Below are 20,240 nucleotides of genomic sequence, written 5' to 3'. Positions count from 1 at the left end.
GGTGGACTGGTCTTTTTCAGGTTTACCTTACTCTGAGTCTGTATCCCTTTAGGGGTGCAGCTGTCCACCAACGTATCTCCTCAGTGGTGGGCCCTGAACTTGCTTCTCTCTCATCTTAGGCTATTCCCCATTTCCACCCCACTTAAACCACCCCAAACTCTGCTTTTCAGATTTTTTTGTTCTTGAACTAGCAAATGCATGAAAAGCATAAGAAGAGACAAATGTTGGGCTCATCTTTCTGAGCTACCTTTCCGTCTGGGATTTTGTCTTCTCAGAGCCTCACTGCTTTAGTAGTTCTCTAGGGCCTCCAGACAGATTTTTTTTCTTTTCTTTTCTTTTTCTTTTTTTAAGATGGAGTCTCACTCTGTCACCCAGGCTGGAGTGCAGTGGCATGATCTCGGCTCACTGCAACCTTCGCCTCCTGGGTTTAAGCGATTCTTCTGCTTCAGCCTTTCGAGTAGCTGGGACTACAGGCACCTGCCACCATGCCTGGCTAATTTTTGTATTTTTAGTAGAGATGGGGTTTCACCATATTGGCCAGGCTAGTCTTGAACTCCTGACCTCATGATCTGCCCACGTTGGCCTCCCAAAGTGCTGAGATTGCAGGTGTGAGCCACTGTGCCCGGCCCCAGATTTCTAAAATGTAATTTTGTTCATATAGATATTATGTGTATGTATGTGTTTGTGTATATGTGTGTGTGTGTGTGTGTGTGTATCTTTTATTTTTTGAGAGGGCAGAGTGGGTTTGTATGTACTGTGGTAAAAGGTACGTATAGTGAAATAAATAGATCTTAAGTGTTTAGTTTGATGAGTTTTGACAAATTTTACCATGAAACCAACACATCAGTCAAGATATAGAACATTTTCATTACACCAGAAAGTTCCCTCATGTCTCCTTTCTATCCCCACCCTACATAGAAAGCTGCTGTTCTGATTTCTGTCACCACAGGTTAGTTTTGCCTGCTTTTGAATTTTATATAATGAAATAGTACACTATGTACTTTGTATCTGTCTTCTTTTGTTCAACATGTTGCGTCTGGCTTCTTTTATTCAACATTATGTTTCTGGGATTATATTGGTGTAATATAGTAGTTTATTCTTTCCAATGCTGAGTAATATTTCATTATATGAATATGCCGCAGTTGCTATTCCATTTTTTACTTGATGGAAATTAAGTTTATCTTCAGTTTTTGACTATTATGACTAAAATTGCTATGAATATTATTGTACAAGTCTTTTTGTGATCAAATGCTTTTATTTATCTTGAATAAATACTTAGTAGTTGAACTGCTGGGTTACCATTTAGGTGTGGGTTTAACTCTATAAGAAATACCAACTCATTTTCCAAAGTGATTGCAACACATACATTTTTAATATTGCTGACAAACCAGGTCAATATTTCAGGACAATGGGAAAGGTACTGTTGGTAAGTCAAGATTTAAAGAAACCCTAATTGGGATGTTGAATTTATGTGTCAACTTGACTGGACTAAGGGATGCCCAGATAGCTGGTAAACCATTATTTCCGGGAGTGTCTTTGTGGGTGTTTCTGGAAGAGATTAGCACTTGAATCAGTAGACTGAGTAAAGATTACCCTCACCATTGTGGGTAGGCCTCATCCAATCCATTGAGGGTCTTGAAAAGAACAAAAAGGCAGAGGAAGGGTGAATTTGCTCTCTCTTGTTGAATTGAGACACCCATCTTCTCCTGCCTTTTTGGGCATTAGCACTCTGGCATCTTGGGTTTTCAGACTCAAACTGGGACCTACGCTATCAGCCCCCCAGTTCTTGGCCTTTATGCTTGGATTGGAACTACACCATCAGTTTCCCTGGATCTCCAGCTTGCAGGTAGCAGATCATGGGACTTCCCAGCCTTCATAACAAATCTTTTTCTATATATTTATATATTAATATATACTATTGGTTTAATGGAGAACCCTGACTGATACACTTGTTTGAGAAAGGACACCTAACCTCAAAAATGAAAGTCATTGATGTGAGTGTTCCATAATCCAATATGTGAAACTTTATGATAAAAATGTTTTGGCCCAGTGATTTGAAGATTGCCAAATTATGTCATATGTTCTGGCCATAAGTCAACAGGTTCCCAAATCTATCATCTGCCTTCTAGGCCTTTCTGAGATGGAGTTCATTTTCTTTGGGGTCTAGAAAAAGTATTAAAACTCTAGGAAATTAAAAAAATGGTATCTGGCCACCATAAGATATCACCTTATACCTGCCAGTATGGTTATCATCAAAAAGACAAGAGATAAAAAGACATAAAGATGTGGTAAAAATGGAAGCCTTATATATTGTAAGTGTAAATGTAAATTGCCACAGCTATCATGATCATGGAAAACGGTATAAAGGTTCCTAAAAAAATTAAAAATAGAGTTACCATATGATCCCATACAAAATGGGATTGAGATACCAAACAATCCAACTTCTGAGTATATACTAGAAGAAAATGAGATCAGTATTTTAAAGAGATATGTGCACCCTCAGGTTCATTGCAGTATCATTCAAAATAGCGAAGATGTGGAAACTGCCTTAGTGTCCATTGGTGCGTGGATGGATAAGAAAATGTGGTACAGATAAATTTGATGGAATATTATTCAGCCTTAAAAAAACAAGGAAATCCTGTATTTGTGACAGCTTGGATTATGGTAAGTGAAATAATCTGGAGAAAGACAAATACTATGTAGTATCATTTGTCTATAGAATCTTAAAAATAAAGTCAAACTCATAGAAACAGAGTAGAATTGTGGCTGCCAGGGACTGGGAGTTGGAGAAATGGAGAGATGTTGGTCAAAGCATACAAAATTTTACTTATAAGATGAATAAGTTCTTGAGGACCTAATGTATAGCCTAGTAAATATAGTTAATAATAATGTATTGTATACTTGACATTTGCTAAGAGAATAGATCTTAAGCATTTGCAAACACACACACACATGTAATTATATGAGGTAATAGTTAACTTGATTGTCATAATCATTTCACAATGTGTATATCAAATCATTACACTGTACACTTTAAGCATATACAATTTCAGTTGTCAATTATACCATTATACCTCAATGAAACAGAAAATAAATGAATGAATAAATAAATAAATGAAAAGAATGGTGTCTGGTAAAATTACCAAAACTCTAGGAAGCTGTGGAAGTCGAAATCCCTAAAAAGAATAAATATTTTTTTAAAAAAGTTAAATTCAGGATTTTAACATTTATATAGCCACTTTTTGCTGAAAGAGTTTTAAATAGTTTTGAAATCATTGTACTTTTGTTTGTTTTGTCTGTTCTTAAAGGCATTGGAAGCTTTTGAAAAATCAGCCATACTAAATTTGTTATTGCAGTTTAAATTGTATATGGGAATTGAATTAATCAAAACTTGTAATCAATGACTAAGTGCTTAAAAAATAGGCTTTCAAAGTTTCCTTGAGTCTAATACAGGAGTCTAATGAATTGAACATTAAACAAAATACAAATGCTAGTCAATTTTTTTTTCACACACAAAAGCCCCACAGACGTTAAAGAGAGCCTATTATGGTTTTAATTCCTGGAGTTATTAAACTTTGTCTCACTAAGAAAGATGAAGTAGTTGAGCCAATAATAATTAGTCATCTACTTCTAAGGAGTGGGTCTGAAGAGTTACTTAATTAATGAGAAACAAGTCTCTCATTCTGCTAAAACAACCTTGAGGGAGATGGACAAGTGTGGAGCTTTTGTGAACTATGAATCTATGAATTGCTAGAAAAACCTTGTGGCCAGCTGTGGCCAGGTGTGGCCCAAGAAGCTTCATTAAGTTTGTCTCCAAGGCCCACCACCTCCAACCCAAACTACAAGATTAGCTTCTCCTTGGCCAAAAGTGGAAATTACTGTGGACAGGGTTGAGCAATTTTAGCCCTTTCATCCTTGTTCCCTACTCCAGTGAATAGGACTCATTTCCTTTCATTAAGACTGGAGTCCAGAAGGCATCTATCATGTCTCATGTGGGAGGGTTAAGGATAATCAGGTAAGTCGTTTCTCTTGCCCTTAATTTCTTTAATAACTTGAAGGCCATTTGCATCACACACTCCTAGAATACCAGGAGCAGATTACTATCCATTAAAGAAATTAGTAAAATTTGAACATTTTGGAAGAATCAGCCAGCCCTAAAAATAATTCAAGAGGGTACTTGGAAAGCTGGTTGCTGAGAAGGTTTCAGCTCAATCTAATTCAGCCAAGGTGATGGAGGAGCATCCCTCATTAGGAAGCATGACTAGAGTGAGACTGTAACTAGAAAAAAAGCTTGAACATAATCTTTTGTATTGTAATTCTTATGAACTCAAACATGCTTCCCAAGGGGAGGTCAATGTGGAACTGCAGAGTTCCTCACACTTCCCTACTGAGTAGTACCCTTCATGCTTAAAAATGCAGCAGGATGGTATTTTTAAGATGGATGTTGTTTCACTTCTAGGAATCCCTAGGTACTTCTAATTGTTGTTCCCCCTTCTCTCCCTACCTAAATCAATAGCATTCTTTGCTTTAGGGGAAGGTAGGTACAGTATATAACAAAGACATCATTGTTGTCTTCAACTTTCAAGAGTTTTGAGAGTCCATGACTGGAACTATAGTATGAAAGCCAAGTTGATTTTGATTTGTGAGAACTGGGTACTTTATCTCAAGTACCTTGAGATAAAAGGTATTTTTATTCTGAGTCTCCAAGGAGGCATGGTTTGAAATAGTCTGAGCCTTGAGGACTCAGATCTGAGAATTAATACTGGATATGGAAAGGTACAGGATATGGCATTAGAAATTCTCTCCATTATGAAGAGAGATTCAAATTCTACCACTTGGTAGGGAGAAGAAGAATTGGAGGACAGCAATAAAATTAGGTCAAAGTCAATATTTCTATGGGGTGTTGAAACCCTGAGGGTGGAGTGGGGGTATTATCTCCACAATATGGCGGCTCTCTGGGTGCCACACATCACTTCTTCGCTCCTTAAGTCTGCCCACACCTCTCTGTATGTAGGTCCTTCATAGAGCTTTGAACCACCTGTAGGATAGTATTTCCTATTACAGCCCAAAAGACTAGAAGATCAGATGGAATCTGGGCTCAACTAGAGCTACTCATAACCTCTTCAAAGGGAAAATTGCTCTCTAAGGGAGTTCATGAAGTCATTTATTTAGTTAATCAAAAGATGTGTTTAACTGATTAGCTTTTGAGGGCTTATGATGTGGGCCAGTTATTATGGTAGGCAAAGTTATAGCCTCCCAAAAGCTTATGAACCAGAAGTTTAGTTGAGTGCCATGTATACAAAAAACTCCCCACAAAACTGCATCATGAGCTGTATAAGTTTTCTGTAAGAACAAGATAAAATCGCCAGCAATGCAGGCCATGTGGGCCCCTAAAACATGGAGTTTTGGGAATTAGGTTGTTACTTGGTGCTGTAGGGAGTAAAATCAATCCAAAGGAACAAATGGAAGCCCATTGTAGGTGCAGATTCTAGATCTGAACAACAGATCCACGCTGTAAGATGTGCCTTCTTCAAACATGCAAATCTAATTATGCCATTCCTGTTCCTTAAATCTTGCTGTGCTTCCTAGTGTTATTAGAGTAATGAAAACTCCTTATGACACTCCACAACACTCTGCCTGTGCTGACCTGACTTTCCAGTCTCCTTTTGTGTTATGTTTTCTCTGTACTAGCCCTAAGAGGAGTACTTTGAACTCATTATGTATTTTCCTGCCTCAAGGACTTTGCATATTCTATTTCCTCTGCCTAGAAGCCTCTCCACTCCTGTCTATGCCTGTGAATTTTTTACTGTTCCTTTACATCTCAGCTCAAGGGACACGTTCTTGGGAGAGTCCTCCTGGAACTCCCTGACTAGGTTGCATTTCTCTGTCAGACACCTTCCTGGCAGTGTGACTTCTCCTTCTTAGAACTACTTGGAATTTTATGTTTGCTTTTGTGATTATTTGATAAATGTCTGTCTTTATAGACAATAACATTGCTACGTACTGGATTGTGTCCTCCCCAACCCCCACCTTCAACTCACATATTAGAGCTCTAACCCTCAATTGACTATATTTGGAAGTAGGGCTTTCTGGAGGTAATTAAGATTAAATGAGGTCATAAGTGTGGGTCCTAATTCAGTAGGATGGATGGCCTTATAAGAAGATGAAAAGTGAGATCTCTCTCTTTCTATCTTTCTCCATCATGTGAGGACATACCAAGAAGACAGCCATTAGGAAGCCAGGAAAAGCACCCTCAGCAGAATCCAACCATGCCAGCTCCCTGATCTTGGACTTCCAGCCTCCAGAACTGTGAGAAAATAAATTCTTGTTTTTTAAGCCACATAGTCTATGCTATTTTGTTATGACAGCCCAAGTGGACTAAGTCAAATACCCACTGGCACAGTGCCTAGAACAAACCAGCGGTGCCTGTGACAAACCAATCATTATTTATCATCTACCTGAATAAAAGGCATTTGAGGTGAATCTGAGAGAGCCGGTGTATTAGGTTCCAGTGGCCAGTGCCAGAGAGGGGAGGTATGGGAGCAGGAGCAGGTTGAGAGACAGGGTGGGAACAAGAAGACCGAAGAATCCAGAAGAGAGACTGTCTCTAAAGCAAGAAAAGACACCTTCTTTTCATTGGCCTTACAGCATGATGATAGGCTTGTGGTTTCAAGGTGAAGGGCTAGGCCCAACTGAATGCACAACAGATGTTAGAAAAAAGGGTCACTAGTTGGTAGGATCACTGGGCAGTGGACCCCAGATAGGTCTCCAAAACCCTACTTTCATGGAAGAGGGACCCTGGGGAAAAAAAAAGTTCGAGGTCACAGATGGTTTTCATTTCTTCCAGTTTATTTTAATCTTTCTCTAATAGGTAACATTTCACTGAAAAATATAATTGGATTCCTACAGCCCAAGGAACATTTCATGAGAGAAGAGCTATAGAAGGTCTTTACATTCATCTTGACTGGAGGGAAAAGGGGTGGGGGGAGGGGATGAAGAGAATGCAGTTACGATGAATTGCAACAGAAACTGTTGCTAAATAATGAATCACTGAAACGCAGCCTTTTTGTGGGGGACCACGTGACATATTCTGAAGACTTGGTCTTTAGTTCGGCTCTGATTTTCTCACATTGACATACATTGTCAGCATATAAGTGGTGGGTATGGGAGAGAAAGCTCAACATCAAGTGTTATTTTCTGTTGGTGTAGAGGGAAGGGCATTGGACTAGGGATCCCATGATTGCTTGTTTCTGTTTCTTTAACCTACTCTGTGATCTTGATCAAGGTTTTTACATCTCTAGACCCTGGTGTCCATACTTGGAAAATGAAGGAGTTGGACGGATTGCTCCACTCTTAAGGTTCTGAGATTCTTGATATAGCAGAATGCGCTGTCTGTGGCTTCCCCTGTTGGCAGAGAAGGAAGGTGAGAGAAAGGAGGGGCTATCTCTTAGGAGTTTACAGCCTGAAGGATACTGGAGGAGATCGTACCATTCAACAGCTCGCTGGGTCTATAAATGAATATGGTGACAGTAGTAAGCATAATGGATTAATACGTAAACTATGAGGTGCATTTTAGCTCCTTGGCAAATTCAGTAATTCTCCTGGGAGGCTTTGCTGTCACTTCTGGCCACTGTTCTGGCATGGGAAATCATGAACAGCAGCAAGGAGGCACTCCCTCTTCATAAACCTATTTGCTGATCAGTGCCTGATACCAAGAGGGAAAAATTACCTTAAAATCCCAACTCTGTGATAATCCATACCCAGCAGCACTTCAAAGGAAGCATTTCTCATTGTGGAGATGAAGCAACATTATGAAGGGTGAAGATTACCTAGCACTGTGATAGCATTTTTTTCTCAAAGAGCACTCACATCTCATAAAGTCCTGTTGGGTCTGCTCTCACTCCTCCCAGAAGGGAGGGGGAAACAGGCTGTATTTTCCTTCTTTCGTGGATGGGAGAACAGGAATGACAGGGGCCATGGCTTTGTCCAATGGCAGTATACCTACCCAGCTACAGGAGTCAGCTTCTCAGGCTAGTCCTTTTTGTTGTCACCAACAAAATACTATGTTCATAGTAAGTTTTGTTTTGGTCTCCATTTTTTCCCCTTTTAGTACCTCTGTTTGTGGGAGGAGTTGTCTATTGAGTCATGCTAGAGTTTCCTTGCTGAAGTCAAGGTCAGCCAATGAAACTCTGCAAGGTGAACCATCTGAAGGAATACCAGTTCCAGAATATATCTCTATTCAACAGCAACAACGATAGTAGCTAAGGTTTGTCAACAACTTATTATGTGCCAGGTGCTGTTTTTCTTACCTATATCCTCTCCATTAATCCTCACAAAAAATCGCATGGGGTATTGCTATTATCACCAGCTTGCAGATATGGAAACTGAGACTCAGAGAGGTGAAGTAACTTGCCCAGTCACATCTGTAGTGGTTTTGTGTGGTGTCAACTAGTTAAACTTGAATCATCTTCCTGGAACCCTCTTTCTTTCCATGATTCTGAATTAGAGTTGACCCAAAGAGAAACTTGGCTGAGATTTGCAAGTTGGAAGTGGAACAGCAGCCTTTACTCTCTGAAGGTTGTTGTGGTGAGAAGTGGTGAGAGACAGATGCAGATGTGCCAGCAGATTCAAGCTTTTCCTCCAAATTCTCTTTTCCACGTTCAGTTCTTCCCAACTGATAGCCCTACTGACCAACAGTGGCTCCAGGCCCACCATCAGATGCAGAGCAACCTCCTCAGTTGACTTTCCCACCAGCACTCTTTTGTGGCCCCGCATCAGTAGCTAGACTTTCAGGCTATCCGGATTCCTAGGCTCTGACTAGCCCACCTGTGCCAGTGCTTCCAGGGGACTGGCTAGTGACTTTTCTTTGACCCCCCCAATTCCCCTTCTGTGATCCTTATTTCTGCAGCTTTTCCCACAATTGTGTAAGGTCTCACTCCTATTCCAATCCCTTATTTTGTACTACCTATTATGGTCTTCTGCCTTAATTGAACTGTGCCTGATGCAAGTAGCTGTTAAAAGACAGAGTTGGGACTTAAATCCAGATCTAACAAACTCAAAGTGCACACTAATAACTCCCTGTATGGTGATTGGTAGTGAGATACAGATTTTGTAGTGATTGGCAGTGAAATACAAATTTTGCTAGCCAATCATTTCAAATATATATAGTGAACCCTTCCAAATATATTATGGTGACTTATATAAAATATATATTTTGCTAGCCAACCCTTCCAAATATATTATGGTGACTTACATAAAAATCATGGTCTTTATATCGTGGTGAAACTTTTATTTTTCCTTTTTGAAATTTCTATGCCACTCACCACATTAATAAAACGATTCCCAAGAGCCTTCCAAAATAAAAAAGTTTGCCAGCCCTAATTCTTATTTTGGGTATGCATTAACATAAAGCAGGGCTTTTCAACTCTAGCTCCACTGACAATTGGGGCTGGAAGATTCTTTGTTGTGGGGCCTGTCCTGTGCACTGTAGGATATGTAGCAGTATCCCTGGATTCTACCCAGTCAGTGCTAGAAGCACCCCTAGTTGTGACAATCAAATGTCTCCAAGTGGGTAAAATTATCCCCAGTTGAGAACCGTTGGCATAAGGCCACAAAATCCATGAGCATATGGGGCTGTTGCTTGGAATTGGAAGTCACTCAGTCTCTTCTCTGGTGTTGGTCATAACCTCTTTCCTTGTATGGTAGACAGCTTCTTTGGTGGTTCCTTCAGATCTTCTTACTCTGAGCTCATCCTTCTTCCTTCTCTTTATCCTCTCTCTAGGTGACTATATCCACTGCCTGTGACCACATTTACTTTCAGTCAAGGCCCATGTTAGTGTCTCCACCACTTCCGCTGCCTCTGATGTCACCATTACCCTCACTGAGCACTGTTAGTCTCCCAACCAGTCTCCATCTTCACTCTTCCATCCTCCCACCCATTGACTCCATTACAACTTTAAAGGATGTGGATGAATTATGAAAAATGCATGCGAATAATATTTACCAACTTCAAGATCGAGGTTATTGTCTTAGAGCAATATGGCTCTTCTCAAATGAGAAAGGAAGGATGAGAGTGGTGTTATGGTTATATTCTGAATAACTCTCTGTTTAAAAGAGAGTGATGAAGCAAATTATAACGAATTTAAGTGGTGGACATTTGCAGCCTTTTACACTATTTTCTGGGCTTTCATGAAATGTTTTAATTTTTAAGAAAGGGTAGAAGTATATTGAACAATTATGACTAGCATAGTGTTAAAACTGCAACTTTATGTTTTAGGTAAAAGTCATATGATCATTTCATGTCCTATGTCTCCTTTTGATCCAGAGATTAGAATCCCCTTCCTTGTGAAATAAACAAATCTCAACTTGGCAGTAAATCTTTTCCCCTTCCCTGGATTGGGCTGTTTCAGGGTAGAAGCCTGCAGGTGGAGAAGGCTGAGTGGTCCTGGCTTGCTGCTTTCTGCTGATTCATCCCCTCTTCCTCCACAGAGGCATGGTTTCACTCCCCAGTGATGTGGGGGAGAGGAGGAAAAAGACACAGAGGGAGATGTCTTCTCACTTGGCTGGGTGTCTTAGTGCTAGCCAAAACTGATAGACATTTAAAGCTTGCTATTTCTCATGGTGGCCTCTTTTTGCCGGCTCTGTAGGATATTTTTGGTGGGAATCTGTTTTCTAGGATGCCATTGAGTCTGGTTGTTGTACTTCTATACTAAGTGGTCCCTTAAGATTCCTCCCTCAGCCCCAGGGCATTTAGTGAATCACCTCCAGCTTCTTTCTGCAGAGCTTCCTTGCTCACCCCTCCTCCTCCAAGTATGGGCCAAGATCTAAGGCAGCCTCACAGTGGCTCTCTCTCCTTCCCACTGCTGATATCTGGCATCTACTAACTCAGTTTTCTTTGAGAGGGCATTCCTCAGTGATACTAGAAGCTGTACCCATGACTATAGCTTGTCCTGGCTCTCTGCCCATCCCCCAACAAGTCTGAGCACCCTTAGAGGTTTTTTTCCTTGGGTTTTTCCATTCAGTGCTACCTGCTTTATCCACCCATCCAACTTCTCTGTTTTTGACTCCTACAATTTAATTATTACTTTCAAACTCCAAAGATTGAAGTGGGAGATGAGGAGTGGTATTCAGACTTGTACTGTGTTTTGTTGCATTGCATTATACTGTACTATACTGTACTGTCCTGTTTTTTATTATATTTCTTTCTGCTGCTTATTGGTTTCAGTCTTTATGTATCTGTCCTTCAGTCTAGCAATTGTTTATCTATTTCAGTATTGACTGAACACTTTCAATACTGACTACTATATTCCTGGCCATGTGCTAAGCTTATGACATGCACTATCCCAGTATACACATAAAGAAACTGAAACTCAGAGAGATTAAGTGACTTGGCCAAGGTCATGCAATCCAGGGAAAGGCAAGTCTGGTTGACTCCATAACCCATGTTCTTAACTCCTACACATATTACCTTTCAAGATTGGTGATATGTATAGTGTCTAGGGGTGAGTGGAGGGTAGGGTGGGCTGGAAGAGAAAGGAAACATCCTGTCTTCTTATGTTTTAAAAGTCAAATCCTATTTAAAACAGGTGCCCATTTTTAGGATCATAATTTTTAGCCCTAACTTGTTCATGGCACAAGTGAGGGAGAGTATATGTTTAAAAAGTCAGGGCTGAAAAATTAAGCCTAAGCTTGCAAGCTTGTGAACACACATATAGTTCCATGAGCTCATGTGATTTCTTCAATCTGTTTAGTATACTCTAGAATCATGATTTTATTAATATATTAGTTTCCTGGGTTTGCTGCAACAAATTAACCACGAACTTGGTGGCGGAAGACAACAGAAGGTTGTTTGCTTACAGTTTTAGAGGCCAGAGTCAAATTGTCAGATGGGGTTGTGCTCTTTCCAAGGGCTCTAGGAATCTTTCCTGGCCTCTTCCAGCTTCCGGTGATTCCTGGAGGTCCTTGGCTTATAGCAGCATCACTCCAATCTCTGCTTCTGTCTTCACATGGCCTTCTTCTCAGTGTGTTTCTGTGTTAATTTCTCCCTCTCTTATCCTATAAGGACAGGCCATTGGATTTAGAGTCCACCCTAGTCAAGGATGATCTCATCTTCAGATGCTTACCCAAATCACATATGTGAAGACCTTTGTTCCAAATAAGGGACACGTTCTGAGGCTCTGGACGGACATACCTTTTGGAGGCCACCATTCAACTCACTAGAATAGGTTTACAGTGCTAGGCAATGCACAGTGCCTCTGTCTCTATAATTGTGTGATGCTCTACCTGCCGCTAGCTCTTTCACACATGATGTATAAGGATGAATGAGAGGCCCTGGGAGGCTGTGAGTGTCTGGAAGCCAACACAGTCAGATGGCGTTAAGCTGCCTTGATTCCTTCAGCAGTAGCCGTCTGTCAGTAAATAAAAGTCCAGACGCTTTGCAGAGCTAATGTGTCTTGAAGTACTCACACTCTTTGAGAGAAACTTGAGAAATGGGAAAATTGGGCTCAATATGTGTGAAAGAACTGTATCCTCTTCAGGGGAAAGCCAGTCTATACGTTTCAGAGAGCATTATTATTATACAGAGACACAAACACACAGAAACTAAGTGAAAAATCATATCTGCTAATATGCTCATTCTGGGGACTTGCCCCATTTCCCAGGCAGTTTCACGAAAAACTTTCCCTCTGAACTACCTGAAAAGAATCAATACCCACTGGATGAGTCATCACAGCCCAGGCTTCTTCCACAAACACAGCTGGGGAGGGCTGCTTAATGCAGTGTCCATTAAGGTTAACGGGCACTTCCAATAGGGTTTTTTCACGTTTCCCTTGACCAAGTTCAACTCACACTTCATCCAGACAGGTGAGTACTAAAGACTCATGTTTCATGAGTCCAGCTGCCCTGGTCATTTTGATCAATTCAATTTTTGGTTTCCTGGGAAATGGCATGGATGCCTGACTGTTCAGTGTTTGTCTTCGGGCAATTCAACACATTCAGTTTAGTTCTGCAAATGTGTCATTGGAGACTGTTCAGTGTTGGGATGCTGTGTTTGCCAGGTGATTCTACCTCCTGGGACCACATCCAGTGGGAGCTGGCAAAGTAAACAACCAAAGGTACAAGGGGAAGTGCTTTCCTCCAAGACTGTGCAGAGCTCCATGGCAACCTGCATGGGCAACAATTAATTCTTTAACTTTTTTTTTCTTATTGCAAAAAATAATCAACATTTCTGGTAGAACATACAGATAGGAAAAAAGAGAAAAACCGGAACTACTTATAATCCCATAACACAGAAATAACACTTCTTCACATTTGGTCTGTATCTGCATCTGTATGCATCTTTGTATCTTGGCCTACATTTGTGCCTGTCCCTTTGTCTGTGTGTGTGTCTTTATCTGTAACTAGATCTATATTATGCTTATATTTATCACTATATTTAAATAACATTTAAACATTTCCCATATATGTACCTACACATTTTATTTTATAATCTACTTGTTTACTTAACAGATCATTGCAAACATATTTCCATGTTACATGCATTCTTCTTCAAAATTTTTAGTAGCTGTGTATTATTCTATTGTATGGACAGAAGTTAGTTATTTAACCAATCCTGTACTACTCTGAATTTAATAATTTTATAGATAAATTTGTACATAAACCCTAATTTTGTCCTTAGGAAAACCCCTAAAATTGAAGCCTCAGTGTCAAAGTTAGGTATGTGTATGGAGCTTTTGCCTCAAAGGAGCAAGAAAATTTGCCTGGGAGGGGTTGGGAAGGAGGGAACAGGAAAGCATGACTTTTGAGTTGGGGCTTCAAGAAGGAGCAGAGTGTGGTGGAGGGGAGAGGTGACAGTCTTGGAAGAAGAGAAAAGGGGCAGGCAGGGGACTGCGGGGTGTGTCCAGGGTGCAATCTCTGAGCTCCTGAGTTCTGGGGGTGCTGTTGGGGAGGGCCTGGAGGTGTGGCCTGAGGGTAGCGGAGGAGGAAGGGAAGGGGACACACACACTGCAGATGTATCCAAATCTTTAGGGTTTTATGTTTCAAAGTGCACATTCCTACTGCTTTCCTTCCAGGTTTGAGATTTTCGTCTCTGCCCTCTCCCTTTGAGAATCCCTGTATAATAAGAGGCATGACTGATAGGCAATGTTGCCCATAGGAATAGTGTGGAGGCAGGAAAAGAAGAATCATTGTTAGGAACAGGAGGGAGCCACTGAATGTTTGTGGGCAGAGAAGTGACAGATTCCATGGAATTCACTTAGATATGCTCTGGGCTTCTCAAACCATCCGTGGTGAAGGACCAGCTGTTTTCTGCCTTTTCTCATATATTACAGACTGATATTTTTAGAAACTATAATAAAAAATGAGTTACTAGAAAAATGTAATAAAAAGGTACAAAATGCAAGCACCAATTATTAATTATTAGTTTCAACAGACACAAAATAGCTTGTCAAATTGCTACAAAAGCTTCACATGCTTGTCTTAATCTCTGTTCTCTCCTCATTGCACACCTGTAATCAACAGTTTGCCAATGTCCCCACTCTACAAATGATAGCATGAGTGCAGCCTCTGCTCTGCAAAGATCTGATCTGAGGGAGAGAGGCTGATTAGGAGGCTGTATGCTGTATTTTAGAAGACAGAGAGCAGATCAGGGCCTGGTCTAAGGCAAGAGCAGGGGTAAGAAAAGGAGGGAAGACAAATGAATGAGTAAGACTTTTGGTCTTATTTCAGCCATTTTGTTTTATGCTTAAAAAATGCTTTTGATTAGTTTCTTTGTTTTCTGTCTGATGCTACAATTTTTTAGGGGTGGCTTTTATTTTCTGTAATCATTTGGAAGGTACACATTCTGTTTATTAGCACTACAAGTAGTTTTCATTAAGTTTTTCAAAAACGTATGGCACCTTTATTTCTCCAAACTTGATAGAGGAAAAAAAAAAAAGAAAAAGAACCATTGTCTTTTGACCTCCCATTCTCTAAAATGAGAAATGCTCTACATTTCAACTTTCTCCTACTCTCCATTTTTCATTCTTTACTCTTGTTAATATAATTTGGGGGTTATACCTAAATTCTTATTATTAAACTATTATTATATGGCTTATATGTCTCATTTCATGATCGCTTTTGATATATTATAACCATATTTATAATATTCATTTAGATATAGCTCTGTGTTTAACTGGGTTCTGTGTTTACTGTTGGTGCTTTTATACCAAAGCTTTTTTTTTTTTAAAAAAAAAATCAAGTTCATTTATTTTGAATCACCTCTTGCTATGATGAATGAAAGCATTAAGTAAAATTGCCAGGGTAACCAACTGGGAGTGTGTGTGTGACATGAGAAGAAAAGCAGCCTGACCTCTTGGAGCCGGCTGGCATCACAGCTAGACTTTAGTGCTCTCCTGTTGAAAATAACTTCACAGAGCATCAGTGTCAGACCAGGCTACTCTGTGATGATGGTGGAGCATGACAAAGACAAGACCACTTCATGACCATGTCTGAACACAACAAAACATGTACATTGTACAAGCCACAGAAGTGACCAACCATCCCCCTCTCATGGCTAATACAAGGGATTGCTGCTTCTTTACCAAGTACAGCGTTAATCTTTTCTGGTCTTCCCACATTCTAGATAGATAAGATTTATTAAGATACCCATTCATAAGATACCCCTGCTTCTGGACATCAGCCAATCCAAACCAAAGCCCTACACACTAAAATCACTTAACACAAAACACAAATCCTACAAATGCTTTGTAATGCCCTCTCACTAACAAGACTCAAGGTTTCCCACGGTGTGAATTCTCCCTCACTGAAATGAGTAATAAACCCAACATTTTTAGATGTGTTCCTGGTGGTCTATAGCTGGAGGGCATTCACAAGGAGAATTATTGCTTTGATGGTCCTCCTTATTAGCCTCCTCATATCTACCTCCTCTACCCAGTAACTTTGTATCCCTGCTACCACTCTGAGACCAAGCTAAGATGATGGAGGACGAGAGAAATAGAGATCAGTCAGGTGAATCTAATTGTCTGGACAAGGCCACAGTCATGTGAAGTATCCCCGCTCAGATCTGCAGAAATCCCCAGACAACTCATAATCTTGTGAACAAAAATAAATGTTTATTGTTTTATCTCACGGAGATTTTGTGGTTGCTTGCTTTGCAGCATTATTGTGGCAATAGATAATGGGTACAGTTTACTGTCTAAGAGTATATTTCTTTTGACAACCTACTTTGGGGAGAATTATTGGATCATACACTTTTCTTCGAAACTTTATAAATTTGCTCCATTGTATTCCAGTGTTGGGGCTTGATTTTAGCTTCTGCTTAAACTGTTGTGATTTTCTCTTGGTATCACCAATTATGTATAAGTTAGGTCTCTTATCCTCATTCTATTTACCAATTTCTTATTTATCTTTTTATCTTTAATTGCATTTTTAATTTTCTTGAACTCTTTCCCTTTTTCGATTGGCTCCATTTTTTGTCTAAGGCCAAAATTAAATCTCTTTTCCCATCACATCTTCATTCAACTCTTGTTTCATAGGTTTTCGATCTAAGTTATATTAAAGGTATAATATTTTTCTTTTACCTGTAATTACTCTTTAAAAAATATGCTATTTATTTATTTGTGTTGTCAGGGAAATACTTTCCTTCTCCAATAATGCAAAATTGTAGAATTATTTTTATTGTGTGTGTCTGTGTGTATAGCTACATAGATAAGTAGATATATAGATATACATATATACTCCTGGAGTTTTCAAAAAAATAAGCACATGTGTTCTTCATCCCATTATCTCCTACCTAGATGATGACACATACTCCTTGTATCACAATTGAAGAGTGGATGGATATATATATAGCTCCTAACCAAGTTTCCATTGTTTTTTTAGACACTTGTCTGACAAAGCTTTTCTGCATTATCTGCTCTTAATTTTCTGAATATGATGAAGAAAATTATTTCTGAGTAATCCAAAACAATGTGTAATTACTATGTCATAAGTTGCAATAACTACTATTCTCAATTCTTCTGGCTTTTCTCTTTTCCAATGGCTGCTAAAATCCCAGGATACAATGCTTCATTTCCTGTCTACTTCCATTCTGGGCCAATGGAACTACCATGTCCAGTGGATTCAGAGTTGTGCTTTTTGATATAGTAGCCACTAGTAACCTGTGGCTATTGAACACTTGAAATGTGTCTAGTCCAAATTGAGATGTGTTGTAAATGTAAAATACTCGCCATATTTCACGATGTGGAATAAAAAAGGGATGTAAAATATCTCATTAATAATTTAAAAACATTGATTTAATGTGGAAATGAAAATATTTTAGATATATTAAATATTCTATTATAATTAATTTCACCAGTTTCATTTTGCTTCTCAAAAATGTGGCTACTAGAAAATTTAAAATTGTTTATCTAGTGTGTATTCTATTTCTATTAGACAATGCTGACATAGAGAAATACTAATAGAGAATGAGGCAAAAATGTATGGTCATTTCAGAAAGTCATTTTCTGGTCAACAGGGACCCTGAGTCTCTGGTATGAGAATACACAGGAAAGGCTTGTAGAAATGTATTCTGTCATGCTTTCTCCTGTCTTTATTATTTTGTTTCAAAAGTCAAAGCAAGTGAACACTACCAATAGTCTTTTGCCTAAGACTGTTTCACCAGTTAAATTTTGCTGTGTGGCAAACTACTGGAAAACTTAGTGGCATATGACAGTAAGTATTTCTTTCTCAAATATTGGAGAGTTAGCATAGTTCCCTCATTTAGGTTGAATTCCAAATGGGGCACTGTAGCTGGGGCCTCTGCTTCACGTTTCTCATCCTCTAGCAGGCTAACTTGGGCATGTTCTCATGGCAATTGCACAGGAGCAAGAATGAGACCAAATCCAATCTGACAAGCACTTTTCAAGTTTCTCCTTACATCACATTTGTTAACATATCATTGGCCAAAGTCAGTTACACGGTAAGCCCTGAACTCAGAGTGGAAAGGCACTATGAAATTATAAGGCAAAAAGCATGGACTACATAAACGAATGAAGAATGGGGGGCCATCTCTCCATTGTGATTAGAAGGAATTCATCCAAAAGTTTGGGGAAATACTAGCATGTCTAGTTTCCAGTCATATTTCAATTTTACCTCAATGGGATGGGAGGTGCTATTATGACCTGAAAGTCCTTCACTGTGTTTAGTCAAAAGTACACCTTTACGTTCCCCTTAAACTGCTTTTGAAAGAAGCAACACCATTGCATAATTAGCAGAAAATATTCCATTCTCATTTTAGACAAATGTTACAAGAAAGTTTACTATGATTTTTAAGCTAATAAAATTATTATTTTATAATAATAATGTACCATTATTATTATAATTATTTTATCATAATGATTAAATTTATTATTGTTATTATTCATGAGATGGAAAAAACAGCATTGCATATGTCACTAATGGCAAAAATAAAACTGGAATTGTCCAAGTAGCATCTATTTGCCCACACAGGGATGAGCTTGTGCGTTTGGAACAAGGGTAATAGTTTCTTATTGGAGCAGCCAGCTGGATAGAAGGAAATGTTCAGGCCAAATGTTTGCTTTCAGCCAGTCTGTTTGACCATATTGAGAAGGGGTTACCAACTAAAACATTTGTGATGGATTGTGAAGTATGATATGAACCATGGAGAAGTTTTCATTGGCAGAAAGAATTTGCATCCCTTCTTTGAGCTGACTAGCTACATGATCTTGAGCAAGCTCCTTCAACTCTGAGAGCCTCCTTTCATATTCTAAAATGGGGCCAATGATTTTCCACCCACAGGGCAGCTGAAAGGATTATGTGAGAAAGCACAGCATTTAACATAAGACATGTTCTGAAAGTGGTAGTTATATTCTAATATCTCTGTATGGAACTGTTCTGGGGATTCCCTAATTGTTCCACCTCTATTTGTGGTTGACAGTGGTAGTCATTTAGCACAGCTAAAATATTTTCTAGTTAACATCTTTTACTCGTTTGTTTGCACATTAATTTACTTACAGATTTAAAAAACAATTTTTTTTACAACTCCTTCATTCATTCATTCAACAAGCATTTATTAGTAGTTTCACAGGATGGATTTTTCTGGAGGAGATATTCAGACAGAGTTTGGGGAACAAAATATTGATTAGGAACCAACACCTGTAATGGTGAGGGAGAGAAAGCAGGATTGGGCAGAGGGAAAGTTAAACTGCAATACAGGACAAATGGGAAGCTGGTGGGGAGATCTGGAGTGGGTGTTGCCTGTTGGAATTGTCCTATGGCTGCATCTAGCCACGATGGCTGTGCTTTGTACCTCTACTTTGCTCATTCACTGGATGAGGGCTGCCCCAGGAAGGGCATAGCTGAGGTAAGGCATAGCTGAGGCAGTCTCTGAAGGCCCTGACAGCTGAAGGCTGTGTGCTGGCTACACTCTGCAGGGGCAGCAGGTCCTTCCTTGAAGGGGATCTGGGTGGTTCATCTTCATGTCCTGTGCCGGTGGCTATTGCGGGCAGACCTTGAGCTAAGTCCTGGGGATGCAGTGCTGAACTGGGAAGACAAACTCCCTCATCCCCTGGAGCTAACAGCCTAAGCTGGTTTTGAGAATTTTCAGTTGTTTCATTATTTCAAAGGAACAATCTTCTTTAGGTAGACTGTCTCACCATGGAATTGGGACAACAGGCTAATGCCCTCAGTTATTATTCAGGATAGGAAGAAAGCAACGGGTGCCCCTGTTTATAGTAACACAGATTCTGGGATATATTGAATTCTCTTCCATTCATTTTTCAGCTGATTTCAACGGTCCCACAAACACTGATTTTCTCTCTTGTGCCAGGCACGGTGTCAGGTGCTAGGGGTATAACAGTGAGCAGTATACAGTCTTATAGGGGAGGCAGACACATAAAGATAACCTCAACATAAAATAAGAAATTATGAAGTAGAGACACAAAGAGGCTGCTAAGGACACTCAGGGAGAGGAAAGCTTCCCCTGGCCTGGAGGTCAGGGGTAGCTTCTTGGAGGATAAGATATCTGAGCTGAGTCTAGAAGGAAGAATATGAGTCAGCCAGAAAAACTAAGTTTCTACTCTTTAGTAATTCCTTCTTATTTCATAGAAAAGGGAACAAATCAGAAGTCTTAAACATTTATAAAAGTAATCATGCCAAGAGAATCCAATGTTTAATGAGACAAATTACTTTTATGATCTTTAGATGAAGACGTTTCCCTTCATTTTCAGCCTTGAAAGCTTAAA

The 20,240-nt window shown here is 39.5% G+C and overlaps 1 long non-coding RNA gene across 1 annotated transcript, besides 2 other annotated features; it reads left to right on the top strand.

Moving 5' to 3' along the window:
• The first annotated feature begins 2,330 nt into the window (after positions 1 to 2,330).
• LOC124909359 (uncharacterized) lies at positions 2,331 to 6,340 on the top strand. The gene is made up of 2 exons (XR_007095857.1): positions 2,331 to 2,664; positions 6,210 to 6,340. It is a non-coding gene; the product is annotated as an uncharacterized LOC124909359 (long non-coding RNA).
• Positions 8,204 to 8,473: an enhancer, noted in NCBI's record as "active region_19627". NCBI's record gives its function as "activates an Ori minimal core promoter by ATAC-STARR-seq in GM12878 lymphoblastoid cells {active_cell/tissue: GM12878}" and the evidence as "EXISTENCE:reporter gene assay evidence [ECO:0000049][PMID:35858748]".
• Positions 15,494 to 15,563: an enhancer, noted in NCBI's record as "active region_19626". NCBI's record gives its function as "activates an Ori minimal core promoter by ATAC-STARR-seq in GM12878 lymphoblastoid cells {active_cell/tissue: GM12878}" and the evidence as "EXISTENCE:reporter gene assay evidence [ECO:0000049][PMID:35858748]".

Source organism: Homo sapiens, chromosome 3 (assembly GCF_000001405.40).
Source record: "Homo sapiens chromosome 3, GRCh38.p14 Primary Assembly".
Classification (NCBI taxonomy): domain Eukaryota; kingdom Metazoa; phylum Chordata; class Mammalia; order Primates; family Hominidae; genus Homo; species Homo sapiens.
This window is presented reverse-complemented; position numbering and strand designations above follow the sequence as displayed.